The 14,704-nt window shown below is 37.9% G+C and overlaps 1 protein-coding gene across 4 annotated transcripts in view; it reads right to left on the minus strand.

Annotated features, from left to right (window-relative positions):
- Positions 1–14,704, minus strand: part of SATL1 (spermidine/spermine N1-acetyl transferase like 1) — a 151,496-nt gene that overhangs the window by 3,844 nt on the left and 132,948 nt on the right. For 3 of the 4 annotated variants that reach the window (NM_001367857.2, NM_001367858.2, XM_047442081.1), the window contains 2 exons: positions 11,201–13,153; positions 7,737–7,788 (listed from right to left, as the gene is read on the minus strand). In NM_001367857.2, the coding sequence (NP_001354786.1) occupies positions 7,737–7,788; positions 11,201–12,841 (1,693 nt within the window). In that variant the 5' untranslated portion in view covers positions 12,842–13,153. Of the gene's footprint in view, positions 1–7,736; positions 7,789–11,200; positions 13,154–14,704 lie in introns of those variants that run through there. The other variant, NM_001012980.2, reaches the window with a different exon arrangement.

Here is a 14,704-nt window from a genome sequence, read left to right on the forward strand (position 1 = left end):
TCTTAAAGATGCCCAGAGAGATAAGACATGCACAAATACAGGAAAAATATATGTAAACAAAATAATATAGATATAAATTTTAAAAAATCCTCCCCCTAACATTCTGAAGCTTAAAAGTTCAATAACTGAAATGAAAAAAAAATGCACTGTACTGGAGGGGTTCAAAGGCACATTTGAATAAGTTGAAGAAAGAGTCTGTGAACTTGAAACTAGGCCAGGTGAAATTATTGAGTCTGAGAAACAGAAAAGGGATGAGGAAAAGTGAACAAAGCCAAAAGTGTCTGTGGAACATCATCATCATCAGGTGGAACAGGATATATCTTGTGGGACTTAACAGGAGAGAGGGAGAGAGAGAATTTGAAAAAATAGCTGCTGAAAACCAAATTTGACATAAAACATGAATCTACAAATACAAGAAGCTCAACAAACTCTAACTAGGATACACCCAAAGAAATCCACACCAAGACACATTATAATGAAAGTCTCAAAACCAAAGACACAGAATCTTACACAGCAAGAGAAGCAATTTGTCATATATGAGGGATCCTCAATTAGATTACCATCTGCTTTCCCATCAGAAACCTTGGAAGCCAAAAAGCAGTGGATTGATATTTAAAGTCTGGGGGGCAGGGGGAGCAGGGACTGTCAACTAAGAATTTTATATCCACCAAAACTGTCCTTCAAAATGAGGGATAAATTAAGACATTCCCAAACACCCCCCACCCCAGCCCCCTCAAAAAAAAAAAAGAAAGAAACTGAAGGAATTCATTACCATTAGACCTGCCCAGCAAGAAATGCCAAAAGGAGTCTTTCAGGTTGAAATGAAAGTAATCTAAACAGTAACTCAAAGTTGTATGAATAAAGATTTCTGGTAAAGACAGATACATGAGCAATTATAAGAGGTAGTATTGTAATTATGTTTATACAGTCGACCCTTGAACAACATGGGGTGGAACTGTGCAAGTACACTTACACGTGGATTTTTTTCAAACACAGATCAAAAACGATATTCATTGGAGGAGAAACCCACATATACAGAGGACTGACTTTTCATATATGTGAGTTCAGTAAGACTCGCTGTGGGACTTGAGTAGGCATGGATTTGGGTATATGCAGTGGGTCCTGGAACCAATCTCCTGCATATACTGAGAGATGACCCTAACTCCACGTTTTGTTTTCTACATTGTCTAAAAGACAAATGGATAAAAATAATTATTACTTTTTATTTTTTTGAGACAGAGTCTTGCTCACCCAGGTTGGAGTGCAGTGGCATGATCTTAGCTCACTGCAACCTCTGCCTCCTGGGTTCAGGTAGTTCTCATGCCTCAGCCTCCCATGTAGCTGGGACTACAGGCACCTGCCATCATGCCCAGCTAATTTTTTAAGGTATTTTTAGTAGAGATGGGGTTTTGCCATGTTGGCCAGGCTAGTCTCGAACTCCTGGCCTCAAGTGATCCACCCACCTCAGCCTTCCAAAGTGCTGGGGTTACAGGCGTGAGCCACCATGCCCAGCCTAATGTACGTTATTGGGCACACAATGTATAAAGATGTAATCCCTGACATCAATAACAGAAGAGGGGGACAGAGATATATATATAAGAAGAATTTTGTATGCTATTGAAGTTAAGTTGGTTTAAATCAAAATTAGATTGTTATAACCATCAAATATAATCCCCATGGTAAACACAAAATATCTATAAAATACACACATAAGGAAATGAGAAGGAATCAAAATGTTTCACTACAAAAATAAAACACACGAAAAGGACTAATGGAGGAAAGTAGGAACAACCAAAAGCTTTAAGGCGTATGGAAGACAGTTAAATAGTACAGGTGAGTCCTTCCTCATCAGTAATTAAATGTAAATGGATTAAAGACTCCTGCCAAAACACAGAGATAGGCAGAATAGATTAAGGAAAACAAACAAAAACATGATCCAAGTATATACTGTCTACAAGAGACATACTGTAGATCCAGTCACAAATATGTTGAAAATGAAATGATGGAAAAAGGTATTTCATGCAAATAGTAACTGAAAGAGAGCTAGGGTGGCTATACTAGTATCAGACAAAATAGACTTTAAGTCAAAAACACTTACAAGAAACAAAGTACATTATGAAATGATAAAGGGGTTAATTCACCAAGAACATAGCATTTATAAATATACATGCATTGAACATCACAGCTCCAAAATATATGAAGCAAACACTGACAGAACTGAGAGAACTACACAGCAAGACAATAATAGGAGATTCAGTACCCCACTTTCAGTAATATATAGGACAACCAGACAGAAAAGTAGATGACTTGAACACTGTAGACCAATTGTATCTAACAGACATATACAGAAACCTCTATCCAACTACAACAGAATACACATTTTTTTCCCTCAAGTACACATGGAACTTTCTTTAGGATAGATACATTAGGTCACATACCAAGTCTTAATAAATTTTAAAATATGAAAATCACACACAGTATTTTTTCTAATGACAATACAATGATACTAGAAATCAGTGGGAAAAAAACTTGAGAAATTTACAAATATGTGGAAATTAAACAACGCACCGTACACAACCAATGGGTCAAAGAGGAAAGTATAAGGGAAATAGGAAAACACTTAGAGATATGAACGAAAATGAAAACACAACAAACAAAAGCTTACAAGATGAAGTGAAAGTAGTGCTCAGAGGGAAAATTATAGCTGTAAATGCCATTTAAAAAATTATCTAAAACAATAATCTAACTTTATGCCTTAAGGAACTAGAAAAAGAAGAGCAAACTAAGCCCAGAGCTTGCAGAAGTAAGGTAATAATAAAAATTGGATAGAGATAAAATAGAGGATAGAAAAACATGGAGAAAATCAATGAAGGTTGATTATTTGAAAAGATCAACAAAATTGACAGCTAGACTGACAAAGAGGATGCAAATAATTAAAATCAGAAATGAAAATAAGGACATTACTGCCAACACTACAACATTAAAAGGGGGTATAGAAATATTATGATTTATATAACAACAAATTAGATAACCTAGAAGAAATGGACACATTCCTTCAAACATGCAAATTACCTAAACCTACTTAAGAAACAGAAAATCTCAACAGACCTGCAAAAGTTTGAATCAGTAATCAAAGATCTCCCAACAAAAAAAAGGAAGGAACCAAATGGCCTCATCACTGGTGAATTCTACCAAACATTTACAGAAGAATTAATACCAGTCGTTCTCTAACTCTTCCCAAAAAATGAAGAGACGGGAACACTTTGTAATTAATTCCGTGAGGTCAGCATTACTCTGATTCCAAAGGCAGTCAAAGATATTAGAAGAAAGTTACAGGCCAATATTCCTTAATAATATAGGTTAAAAAATTCTCCACAAAATTGGAAATTGAACTCAACAGCATATTAAAGGGATTATTCACCATAATCAAGTGTGATTTATCCTAGGAACGTAAGGGTGCACCAACATAAGAATATCAATTTAATACATCATATTAATGAAACAAAGGGGGAAAAACCCACATAATCAAATCAATGAATGCCGAAAAAGGTGTTTGACTAAAGCACAACACTTTCATGATAAAAGCTTTTATAAAACTAGGAATAGAGGGACATTCCTCAACATGATACAGCGTACTTATGAAAACGACATTATACTCAATGGTGAATGACTGAAAACATTCCCCTAAGATTAGGAAGAAGACAAAGATTCCCACTTTCACCACTGGTATTCAACATTGTACTGGAAGTTATGGCCAGAGCTATTAGACAAGAAAAATAAATAAAAACCATCCATAGGCCAGGCCCAGTGTCTTACGCCTGTAATCCCAACACTTTGGGAGGCCAAGGCAGGTGGATCACCTGACGTCAGGAGTTTGTGACCAGTCTGGCCAACATGGTGAAACCCCATCTCTACTAAAAATACAAAAATTAGCCAGGTGTGGTGGCATGTGCCTGTAATCCCAGCTACTCGGGAGGCAGAGGCAGGAGAATTGCTTTAACCTGGGACATGGAGGTTGCAGTGAGCCAAGATCGTGCCAATGCACAACAGAGCAAGACTCTGTCTCAAAACAAAACAAAACGAAACAAAAAAACAAAAAAAATCCATAGTAGAAAGGAAAAGGTAAAACTATCTATTTGCAGATCACACAATTCTATATAGAGAAAATTCCAAAGAATCTAAGAGAAAGCTTCTAGAGCTGTAAACAAATTCAGCAAAGTTGCAGGGTACAAGATCAACAAACAAAAATAAGTTGTGTTTCTATATAGCAGCAAAAAACAAACCAAAAAATAAATTAAGAAAGCAGTACCACTTACAATAACCCCTAAAATAATTGAATACCTAGGAATAAATCTAATCAAGGAGGTTAAAAACTTGTATACTGAAAGCTATAAAACATTGCTCAAAGAAACTGGAAAATATCCAAAGAAATTAAAAAAGAAAAACAACAACAACCCTGTGTATGCATAGGAATACAACATCGGTAGGATGCCAATACTATTCAAAATGATCTACATATTTAATGCAGTCCCTATTAGAATTCCAACAGCCTTTTTCACAGAAATAGAAAAGCTGATCCTCACATTCATATGGAATTCCAAGGGGCCCCAAATAGCCAAAACAATCTTGAAAACAAAGAATAATATTGGAGGACTCACACTTCCTGACTTTGAAACTTATTAGAAAGCTACAGCAGTTAATACTGTAGGGTAGTGACAAAAGGACAGACATATAGACCAAGGGAACAGAATAGAGACCTCAGAAACAAACCCTCACATATCTGACCCATTGATACAAGGGTTCTATGACCATTCATGGGGAAAAGGACCGTCTTTTCAACAAACAGTACTAGGGAAACTGAATATCCATATGCAAAATAATGAAGTTGGACCCTTAACTTCACATCATGTACAAAATGTAACTCAAAATAGATCAAATACCTCAACATAAGTGCTAAACCTATAAAACTCTTAGAAGAAACATGGGAAATCTTCAAGACATTGAATTTGGCAATGATTTCTTGGATATAACACCAAAAGCACAAGTGACAAAAGAATGAATAAATTGGACTTTATCAAAAATAAAATCTTTTGTATGTGAAAGGGCAATATCAAGAGTAAAAAGGCAACCCATGGAATGGGAGAAAGTATTTGGAAATAACATCTGATAAGGGATTAATATCCAGACTATATAAAGGACTCCTACAACTCAACAACAAAAAACCAACTCAATTCCAAAATGTGTAAATATCATAAATAGACACTTCTCAAAGAAGATATACAATGGGTCAATAAGCACATGAAAAGGTGTTCAACATCACTAATCATTAGTGCAATGCACATCAAAACACAATGAGATATCACTTCATACCGACTAGGATGGGTATTACAAAAAAACAAAAATAAGTGTTGGTGAGGATGTGGAGAAATTAGAACCCTTGTGCTTTGCTAATGAGAATGTAAAATGATGCAGCTGTTGTGGAAAACAGTATGGAAGCTCCTCAGAAAAACCCCCAAATTATCATATGATCCAGCTATTCCACTTTTAGGTACGTGCCCAAAATAATGAAAGCAGCAACTCAGACAGATACTTGTACACCAATGTTTCACAGCAGCATTATTCACAATAGCCAAAATTTGGAAACAGTCAAAATAAACAAAATGATATATATATCTCACATTATATATATACACAATGGAATGTTATTCAGCTTTGAAAAGGAAAGAAATTCAGATACAGGCTACAACTTGGATGAAACTTGAAACATTATGCTAAGTGAAATAAGGCAGACACACAAGGACAAATATATATTTCCAGTCATATGAGGTACCTAGAATAGACAAATTTGTAGAGATAGAAAGTAGAATAGTAGTTATGAGAGCCTAGGGGGAGGGAGGTCGGCAATGGGGATTTATTTTTTTTAATTTATTTTTTTAATTTTTAAATTTTATTTATTTATTTTCTTATTATTATACTTTAAGTTTTAGGGTACATGTGCACAATGTGCAGGTTTGTTACATATGTACACATGTGCCATGTTGGTGTACTGCACCCATTAACTCGTCATTTAGCATTAGGCATATCTCCTAATGCTATCCTTCCCCCCTCCCCCCACCCCACAACAGTCCCCGGAGTGTGATGTTCCCCTTCCTGTGTCCATGTGTTCTCATTGTTCAATTCCCACCTATGGATTTATTGTTTAATGATTACAGAGTTTCAGCTGGGTGATGAAAATGTCTGGAGATGGATAGTGGTGCTGGTTGCACAACAATGGATGTATTGAATGTCACTGAATTATACAGTTACAAATAGTTAAAATGATATGTGTATTTAATCACATTTTTTAAAAGTTTGTGACAATAGGTAAGAGTAAACAAAAATCAAATATCTCACCGGCCTCTATACAAGTACATAAGGACATTTTAAGATAAAAACAGGACTGAGGACATTATGAAATTACTGCAATTTAAATATATACTGAAATCCTAAGGCAGGATGCTGGAGTATACAAAGTATTTTGTTGTTTGTTGTTTATGATTGTTACATATTATCCTGAGCAGTATTTTTCTAACTACAATGAAATAGTGTAGGGGCATTATCTCAACATAGTACAGATTGAGTATCTCTTATCCAAAATTCTTGGGACAAGAAGTGTTTTGAATGTCTGATTTTTTTTGATTTTTAAAATATGTCATTATATACTCAACAGTTGAGCATCCCTAATCTGAAATCTGAAATGTTCCAATGAACATTTCCTTTGAGTGTAATGCCAGTGCTCAAAAAGTTTCTGATTTTGGAGCATTTCAGATTTCAGATTATCAGGTTAGGGATGCTCATTTTGTTATGCTGTTTCAGTTTGAGTACTGCTTTCATAGAGTGTACATTACTTTCAACTTTGTATTTCTTACTATTTCTTTTAAGCCAACAAAATTACTATTTAGTTAACATTCTAGTGGTGTTAATTACCAAGTATAAGAACATAAGTATCATCACATAAGACAACTGATCCATGATCTATGCAGTTCAGAATTCTATTTCTGACCAAGGCACTAAGACTAGTTTGTTAGGGCATGGCGCAAAAGACTCCACAAAACATCCCATAACTTCCTTCTGAATCTGTCACCCAGTATTATAGTGAAACCATTTATCTCCTTGGTAGAATGTTCTCAGTTTATTACATGCATTCTGAAGTATTCAACTTCAAGGAGTTATCCTTCATCAATTCTTCTAGATTTTGATAACTGTCTTCACCTAGTCTTTGCCATTTGTAATTTTATATACATCAATAATCTTTTCATCTTCATATTTACTGCCTAAAATGTTCCAATTCAGAAATCACTAGCCTATCCTATTAATCTTGATGACTATCAAAATGTAGTAAATACTTTGAAAATATTTTAAATCATTTTGCTTTTATCAATTTCCTTGTATCAAGTTACTACCAACATACTGGGTGTTAAATTATACTTTTTTGACCAGTAACACTCCTCATTTTACATTCTGAAAACCAGCTGAAGTCTATTGGAGCTGTAAAGGTGTAAGAGCTCTTAAGTATCATTTTTGTACTAAAAATAAGGAAAATAAAATAGTGGAGCACTGACAAAGCTATCAAATTTATGTCCTGCACATGTTAGTAATGGTGTCATCTTTATGTACCAAGAACAATAGCTTCCACATATCTAAGTAGTACTGTGTGTTTCTTTTTCTTGCTCTGAAAATACCACAAAACACCTTACCAGCTGCTGTTAACTCCATTGCATCTAGCATGTTTTCACAGGCAGCCAATTCCTGTCAAAGTAGATAAAACCTTCAGTTTATGATTTAGCAATAAATTATTAAGATGATAATCATCATAAAATTTGTATTAAACATTTATTGACATGTGACGTCCTGGGCAGTGTTAAAAGTGAGTCAGACTTAATCCCAGTCATCTAGAAACAAAATCTACAACAGTAATGCAACGAAAGGATGTATAAATATTATTAAAGAGAGAGATTAACTATGTTTATACCTCACACATATGAATGTTAATTATCCAGATTAGTAACCTTGAATGCAGCCAGAAACTGAGAAGTAAGGCAAAAAAAGTTACTGAGCATTCAAGGCAGCTGTCATAAAGTTTATGTATTATGAAGCTCATAGGCTTTACAGAGAAGTCTCTCAGGTGTTTGCCTATGAAATGTTTTTGCCAGTTTAACCTGAGGCTTTTTTATTGTGGCTTTTTACTATATCATTTTATTTTACATACTCAGGTTCTTTCCTTCATGGTTTATATCTCAAGCTTGAAAAGCAAAAAATATTCACTCGTTTTCTTTTTAAGATCATAATATTAATAATTGATTTGTTCAACTTTTTTTGGTGTAAGAAGTTAGGTACAATTTCACCTTTATCTTTTCCTCCCAATAGTCCCAACAGCACTTACTGAATAACCCATCTTGGCTGACTTGACATGTCCCTTTTATCATATACTACATCCTCATTTACAGTCATCCCTTTGTATCCATGGGAGATTAGTTTCAGGACCTGCTCCCTCAGCCCCAGGATACCAAAATCTGAGAGTGTTCAAGCCCCTTATATAGCAGAGTATTTGCATGTACCCTATGTACATCCTCTCATATATTTTAAATCATCTCTGGATTACTTACAATATCTAATACAATGTAAATATTATGTAAATAGTTATACTGTATTGTATAGGGAATAATGACAAGAAAAAAGTCTGTACATGTTCAGTACGGTTGCAATTTTTACAAATATTTTCAATCCATGGTTGTTTGAATCTACAGATGCAGAAGCCATGGATACAGAAGGCTGACTGCATACTTAAGAGAACTTCTGGACTCTCCATTCTGTCCCATTGATCTATCTTTCCACTAGTTACCATAGTATTTTAATTACTTACAGTTTTATAATATCTGGTATAGATCATCTCCCCTCATTACTCTTCTTTTTTGAATTTTTAAAATGTTTCTATGTGAAAATTTGGAGATTTTGACTGGAATTGCATTAAACTTTTAATGGAAAAAAGCTTTTAAAATACAGGAGAACCCCAAGGGCCAGATTACATAGAGCATTAGTAAGAAGTTTGGATTTTATTCTCAAGGCAACCAGAAGCTCAATGGAGTTTTAAGCATTTTGGCTGCTGTGTAGAGAATGGATTGGTCAGGGAGGACAATATTTATGTCGATACCTCCTCTAAGACACTGTAAGCTCCTTGAGGGTAGAGAGAGACTGTAATCCAAGAATCCTTATATCTTTTATACTACTTGGTATATAATCTTCCCCTAATATGCATTCAATGTTTGTATAATGAACAAAAATAAAATATTAATATGACCCAGCACCATCTGTGGTTCACCAATGGTCCAAAACCACACTTTAAGGACCACCACAATAAAAAGCTTTAGAAATTCTGGTAAGCAAGAAGTATGGCTGCCTGGCAATGAAATGACTAGGCTCCCAAATAATGCTGTGATGTGCTGATTGAGAATAGTATAAAATGAGTTCATACAGAGGATACTTGGAATGGGACAGTCAATAAAACCTGTAATATATTCAGCTAAGCAATTACTGTGATTGCAAACTCTAATAAACTCCTCTGCAAGGAGAGAATGTTTTGCAAACTTAGCAATGAACAGGAGTTAGGACAAATGGACATAAAATATTAAGAAGAACATAAAACTCAAAGCCAATTAGTCACTATATACATGTATGTGAGAGAGTAATTTAGCTTTTCTATTATTTTTCCACAATGAATACTCATTAAAATTACTCCCAATAAACATCTTATGTATTATCAGATACATGTGGCAAATTAAAAAGTAAATGTGGCCAGAAACCCTTCAGATAGTTTCATTGAAATGGGGTAATCTAGTGATGTATTATTCCCTTGGTGATGACAATGGGCATTGCTTGGAAAGCTAGGAAAAGTGCATTTGTCCAGGTAAAGAGATTAATTGTCATTCAACAATAAATTTATTAATTGCCGACCGAGTGTCAGATGCTAGAACTACAAAAAACTCTTTAAAAAATGTTTTCTACCACCTGGAAGAATGTGGATCTGTAATAATCTCTTGGGCATAGTATTTTGATAGGTTATCTAATCATTCAGATTAATGCCAGTTAGAGAAATGATGTGAGAATTTGTGGAAATGGAATAGAATGTAAGCCATAAAAGGATAGGTAACCCAATTCTTACAGATCTGTAACCAGGCCTAGAATCACTTCAACAGGTGGATTTCACTAGAAAACTATGGGTATTTTATTTTGGCCATTAAAACACACTCTCCAAAGGGAACACAAACTTGGCCTGATTTAGATAAGATTTAAATATATTAGTGAGGATATTATTAAAACATTTTCATTACAAAACACTTATGAGGGCTGCGTATCTACAATCTATGCCTTGCTCCAGCCACATATTTACTCCATAAAGAACATGGTTTACAGCTTTATATGGAATTCTGTAGGTTGTCCATCACATAAATGAGTGCTTTCAGCACCACAGAACTTCAGCACAGTAACTGTGACTACTAGATAGCTTGTCCCTTTAATTAACTGGAATGATTTCCAAGGGAGCCATTAAAATAAACATTTAAATGAGAAATATGTAACCCAGCTCCTTGGCTCCTGGGGGCTGTCTGTGGATGGGCTTCAGTGATCAATGAACTGTCTGAAAATGTATGGAAAATTTGTTGCATGTGAATATTGTTTTTTAGGTAGCTGATCATCAGTTTCTACAAGTAGGTGTGGCCTTAGAAGCAATGCGACTCCCTACCGCAAAATCCTAGCCACTAAAATATGAAATTCTATCATCGGTGGGTCATTTGTTTAAGGTAAGCATTTCTTTTCTCTAAGACACTCTTTTAAAGTTAAAATTTCCCCAGGAAAGAGAACACATTCAGTCCCTAAAATTTCCAGGAATTGGTTCCCCTATAACTTTTTGAGCCCCTTACTATATGCCAAGCAATTTATATGTAATCATTTTATGTTATTGTTTCATAACAACAATCTTTTGAGATATATATTGTTATAATCTTGATTTTAGATGCAGAAAATGAAGAGTAAAGAGGTTAAGTAACTACCAGAGGTTATGAACACATAACTAGCAGAGGCAGAATTCGAACCCCAACTATGCCTCCCTTACTCTTTCAGCCCTACACCAATGCCATGAGGCTCCATGTAATAAAAATAGGCTTACTTTAATCAGTCGCAAAATTTCTGGGCAGTCTCCAGCCTCTGCATGTCTTATTTGAAAGTAATCCATGCTTGTTTGCCTCATGCCCATTTGGCTCACACTTGGTTGGCTCCTGCCTGGTTGACTCAGGCCTGGTTGGCTCAGCACTAATTGGTTCAGGTCTTGTTGGCTCAGGCCTGGCTGACTCGGCCCCGGTTCCCATATGCCTGGTTGGCCCCTGCCTGGATGGCTCATGCCTGTTTGGTTCTTACTTGATTGGCTAGTGCCTGGTTGTCTCATGCCTAGTTGGCTGGGGACTTGCTGGCTCATGCCTGGTTGCCACATGCCTCGTTGCCACATGCCTGGTGGACTCTTGTTTGGTTGCCTCGGGACTGGTTGGCTCAGGCCTGTTTGCCATGTGCCTGGTTGGCTCATGCCTATTTGGCTTGTGCCTGATTGGCTGGTGCCTACTTGTCTCATGCTTGGTTGGCTCCCACCTGACTGTCTCATGTCTAGTTGCCACATCACTGGTTGGCTTATACCTGATTGGTTTGTGCCTGCTTGGCTCGTGCTTGATTGTCTGGGGCCTGATTGGCTTGGGGCTCGTTGCGGTGGACCTGGTTGGCTTATGCTTGCTTCACTCAGGACTAGTTCGCTCAGGCTTTGTGGCCACATGCCTGGTTGGCTCCTACCTAATTGCCATGTGCCTGGTTGTTTCATGCCAGGTTGGTTTATGTCTGGTAGGTTTGTACCTGATTGCCTCATGCCAGCTTGGCTCATGCTTGGTTGTTTCATGTCCACTTGGTTCATTTCATATAGGCTTGCACTCCATTGGTTCATGTCCATTTGGTTCATACCAAGTAAGCTTGGGCTTGGCTGGATTATACCTGTTTGGTTGGAATCTGATAAACTTGATTGGTTTGCGTCTGGTTGGCTCATGTCTGTTTGGTTCTTACATGATTGGCTAGTGTCTGGTTGCCTTATGCCTGGTTGGCTGGGGACTTGCTGGCTCATGCCTGGTTGACTCATGTCTGGGTGGCTTGGGACTTGCTGGCTGATGCCTGGTTGTTGCACGCCTGGTTGCCACATGCCTGGTGGACTCATGTTTGGTTGCCTCAGGACTGGTTGGCTCAGTCCTGTTTGCCATGTGCCTGGTTGGCTCATGCCTATTTGGCTTGTGCCTAATTGGCTGGTGCCTACTTGTCTCATGCTTGGTTGGCTCCCACCTGACTGGCTGTCTAGTTGCTGCATCACTGGTTGGCTCATACCTGATTGGTTCGTGCCTATTTGCCTCATGCGTGATTGGCTGGGGCCTGATTGGCTTGGGCCTGGTTGCGATGGGTCTGGTTGGCTTATGCCTGCTTTGCTCAGGACTAGTTGGCTCAGTTCTTGTTGCAGCATGCCTGGTTGGCTCCTACCTAATTGCCATGTGTCTGGTTGTTTCATGTCGGGTTGGTTTATGTCTGGTAGGTTTGTACCTGATTGCCTCATGCCAGCTTGGCTCATGCTTGGTTGTTTCATGTCCACTTGGTTCATTTCATATAGGCTTGCACTCCCTTGGTTCATGTCCATTTGGTTCATACCAAGTGAGTTTGTGCTTGGCTGGTTTATGCCTGCTTGGTTCGAGTCTGATAAACTTGATTGGTTCGTGCCTGATTGGTTCATGCCCAGTTGATTCCTGCTTTGTTGACTAAGGATGGGGTGGCAGATGATGGGTTGGCAGACAACTGATTGGCTGATGGCTGTCTTGATGGAACAGAATCCCTTAACTGTGCTGTGGTGGGAGGTTGTTGGCTGTTCCCAGTTCTTCTCAATTTGATTCGCCCACTTTGAGATACCCCTCTATCAAGGTGGGAATTGGAAAAAGAGAGGAGCACCTCAGGAAGATTATTAATGCCTCCGGTTTGCTGGAGTTGACTTCACCAGCGACCACAGCTGCAAGCTTGGCTGAGTTTCAGGTTGTCATCTGGCCTTTCCCTGCCAAAAGGGGGGAAGTAAAGGGAAGACGAAAATGATCCTGGAGGAGTATAACCACCAGCCCGCCCCTGCATGGTCACTGCATCATAATGGCGGTCACAATGCAGGTATCAAAGTGCCTACGTGCTCCCCCGTGTGGTGAGGGTGGGGCAAAGCAGGGCTCGCTTGACCACTTTATTTCATCCTCTCTTAAGAGCTTAAAATGGTGAAGCAAGAGGCTATAATGAGTCTCAGAGCTTATGCTTGGCACTCCCAAGAGTCCCTGCTGTTTTAGCCAATTCAAAGAAACTTGCCGCAACTCCCCTCCCTTTCCCTTCATCCCATTATTCAAATAATTCAATTCCTATTTCCGTCCTCATTTTTCACTTACACTGGAAACTAGTTGTCCCGATGAAGTGCTCAAGTCTCGAATGCAGATACTACGTCTTTAAAAATAATAATAGCTGCGCTGGACGTGGTGACTCACGCCTGTAATCCCAGCACTTTGGAAAGCCGTGGCGGGTGGATGGCCTGGGGTCAGGAGTTCGAGACCAGCCTGGCCAATATAATGAAACCTCATGTCTACTAAAAATACAAAAAATTAGCTGGGCATGGTGGTGGGCACCTGTAATCCCAGCTACTCGGGAGGCTGAGGCAGGAGAATCGCTTGAACCCAGGAGGTGGAGGTTGCAGTGAGCTGAGATCGCACTATTGCACTCCAGCCTGGGCAACAAGAGTGAAACTCCGTCTCAAAAATAATAGTAATTATAATAGCTACAGCCAACATTTACTGAGTTCCTTTATGGCCTAGGCTCAGTGGAATGTACGTTTCATTTTCTTATTCAATCCACATCAACACTATTATCCCCAATTCTGAGAAAACTGACTCAAAAGATTTGGTTACCTCCCCAAGGCTTCGTAAAAGTTGGTGGAGAGCCTGAATTCAGACCCAGATCTATCTTTCCAGGCTTTTTATTATTATTCGGTCCAGCCTCTTAAACACATTCCACTCGTTCTCCATCCTCATATCTGTGAGGTCAGGCATTTTGTCCTTTTACCTCTCCCCTCTGCAGGATTCATTCTCCCATCATTTTAACTGCTGGCTTACTTCCTCAACAATGTATATTATATAACTGGTTCTAATATTGTTTCAGATGGAATATTATTTATTTTTTAAATATACCAGAGAACTTTGGATGAGGCTGTTCTAAGTCTCACGCTGTGATAAGGGCTTTACATATGTATTATCTCACTTAATCATCAAAATAACCCTGTGATGCATGTACCGTTGTTCCCCATTTTATCAATAAACTGGAAGTCAAGTTAACTCAGTTCCCCAAGTGTAGTAAACGGAGGAATGGGGATGGGTATCCAAGGCCCATCCCATAGATAGAAGCTTTCAATTTAAATTAGAGACCCCAATCACTATTAGGCCTATGCTAGCTCTAAATTGTACCTAGAGAGCCCATCTTAGCATGACAAGCAAATCAAGTCACATCGCGGAACTATGTCAAGCCTAATACAAATTAGATGTATGTGTGTTGCTGCTTTCCATCTACCTTATAATAAAAA

Source organism: Homo sapiens, chromosome X, assembly GCF_000001405.40.
Source record: "Homo sapiens chromosome X, GRCh38.p14 Primary Assembly".
NCBI lineage: Eukaryota > Metazoa > Chordata > Mammalia > Primates > Hominidae > Homo > Homo sapiens.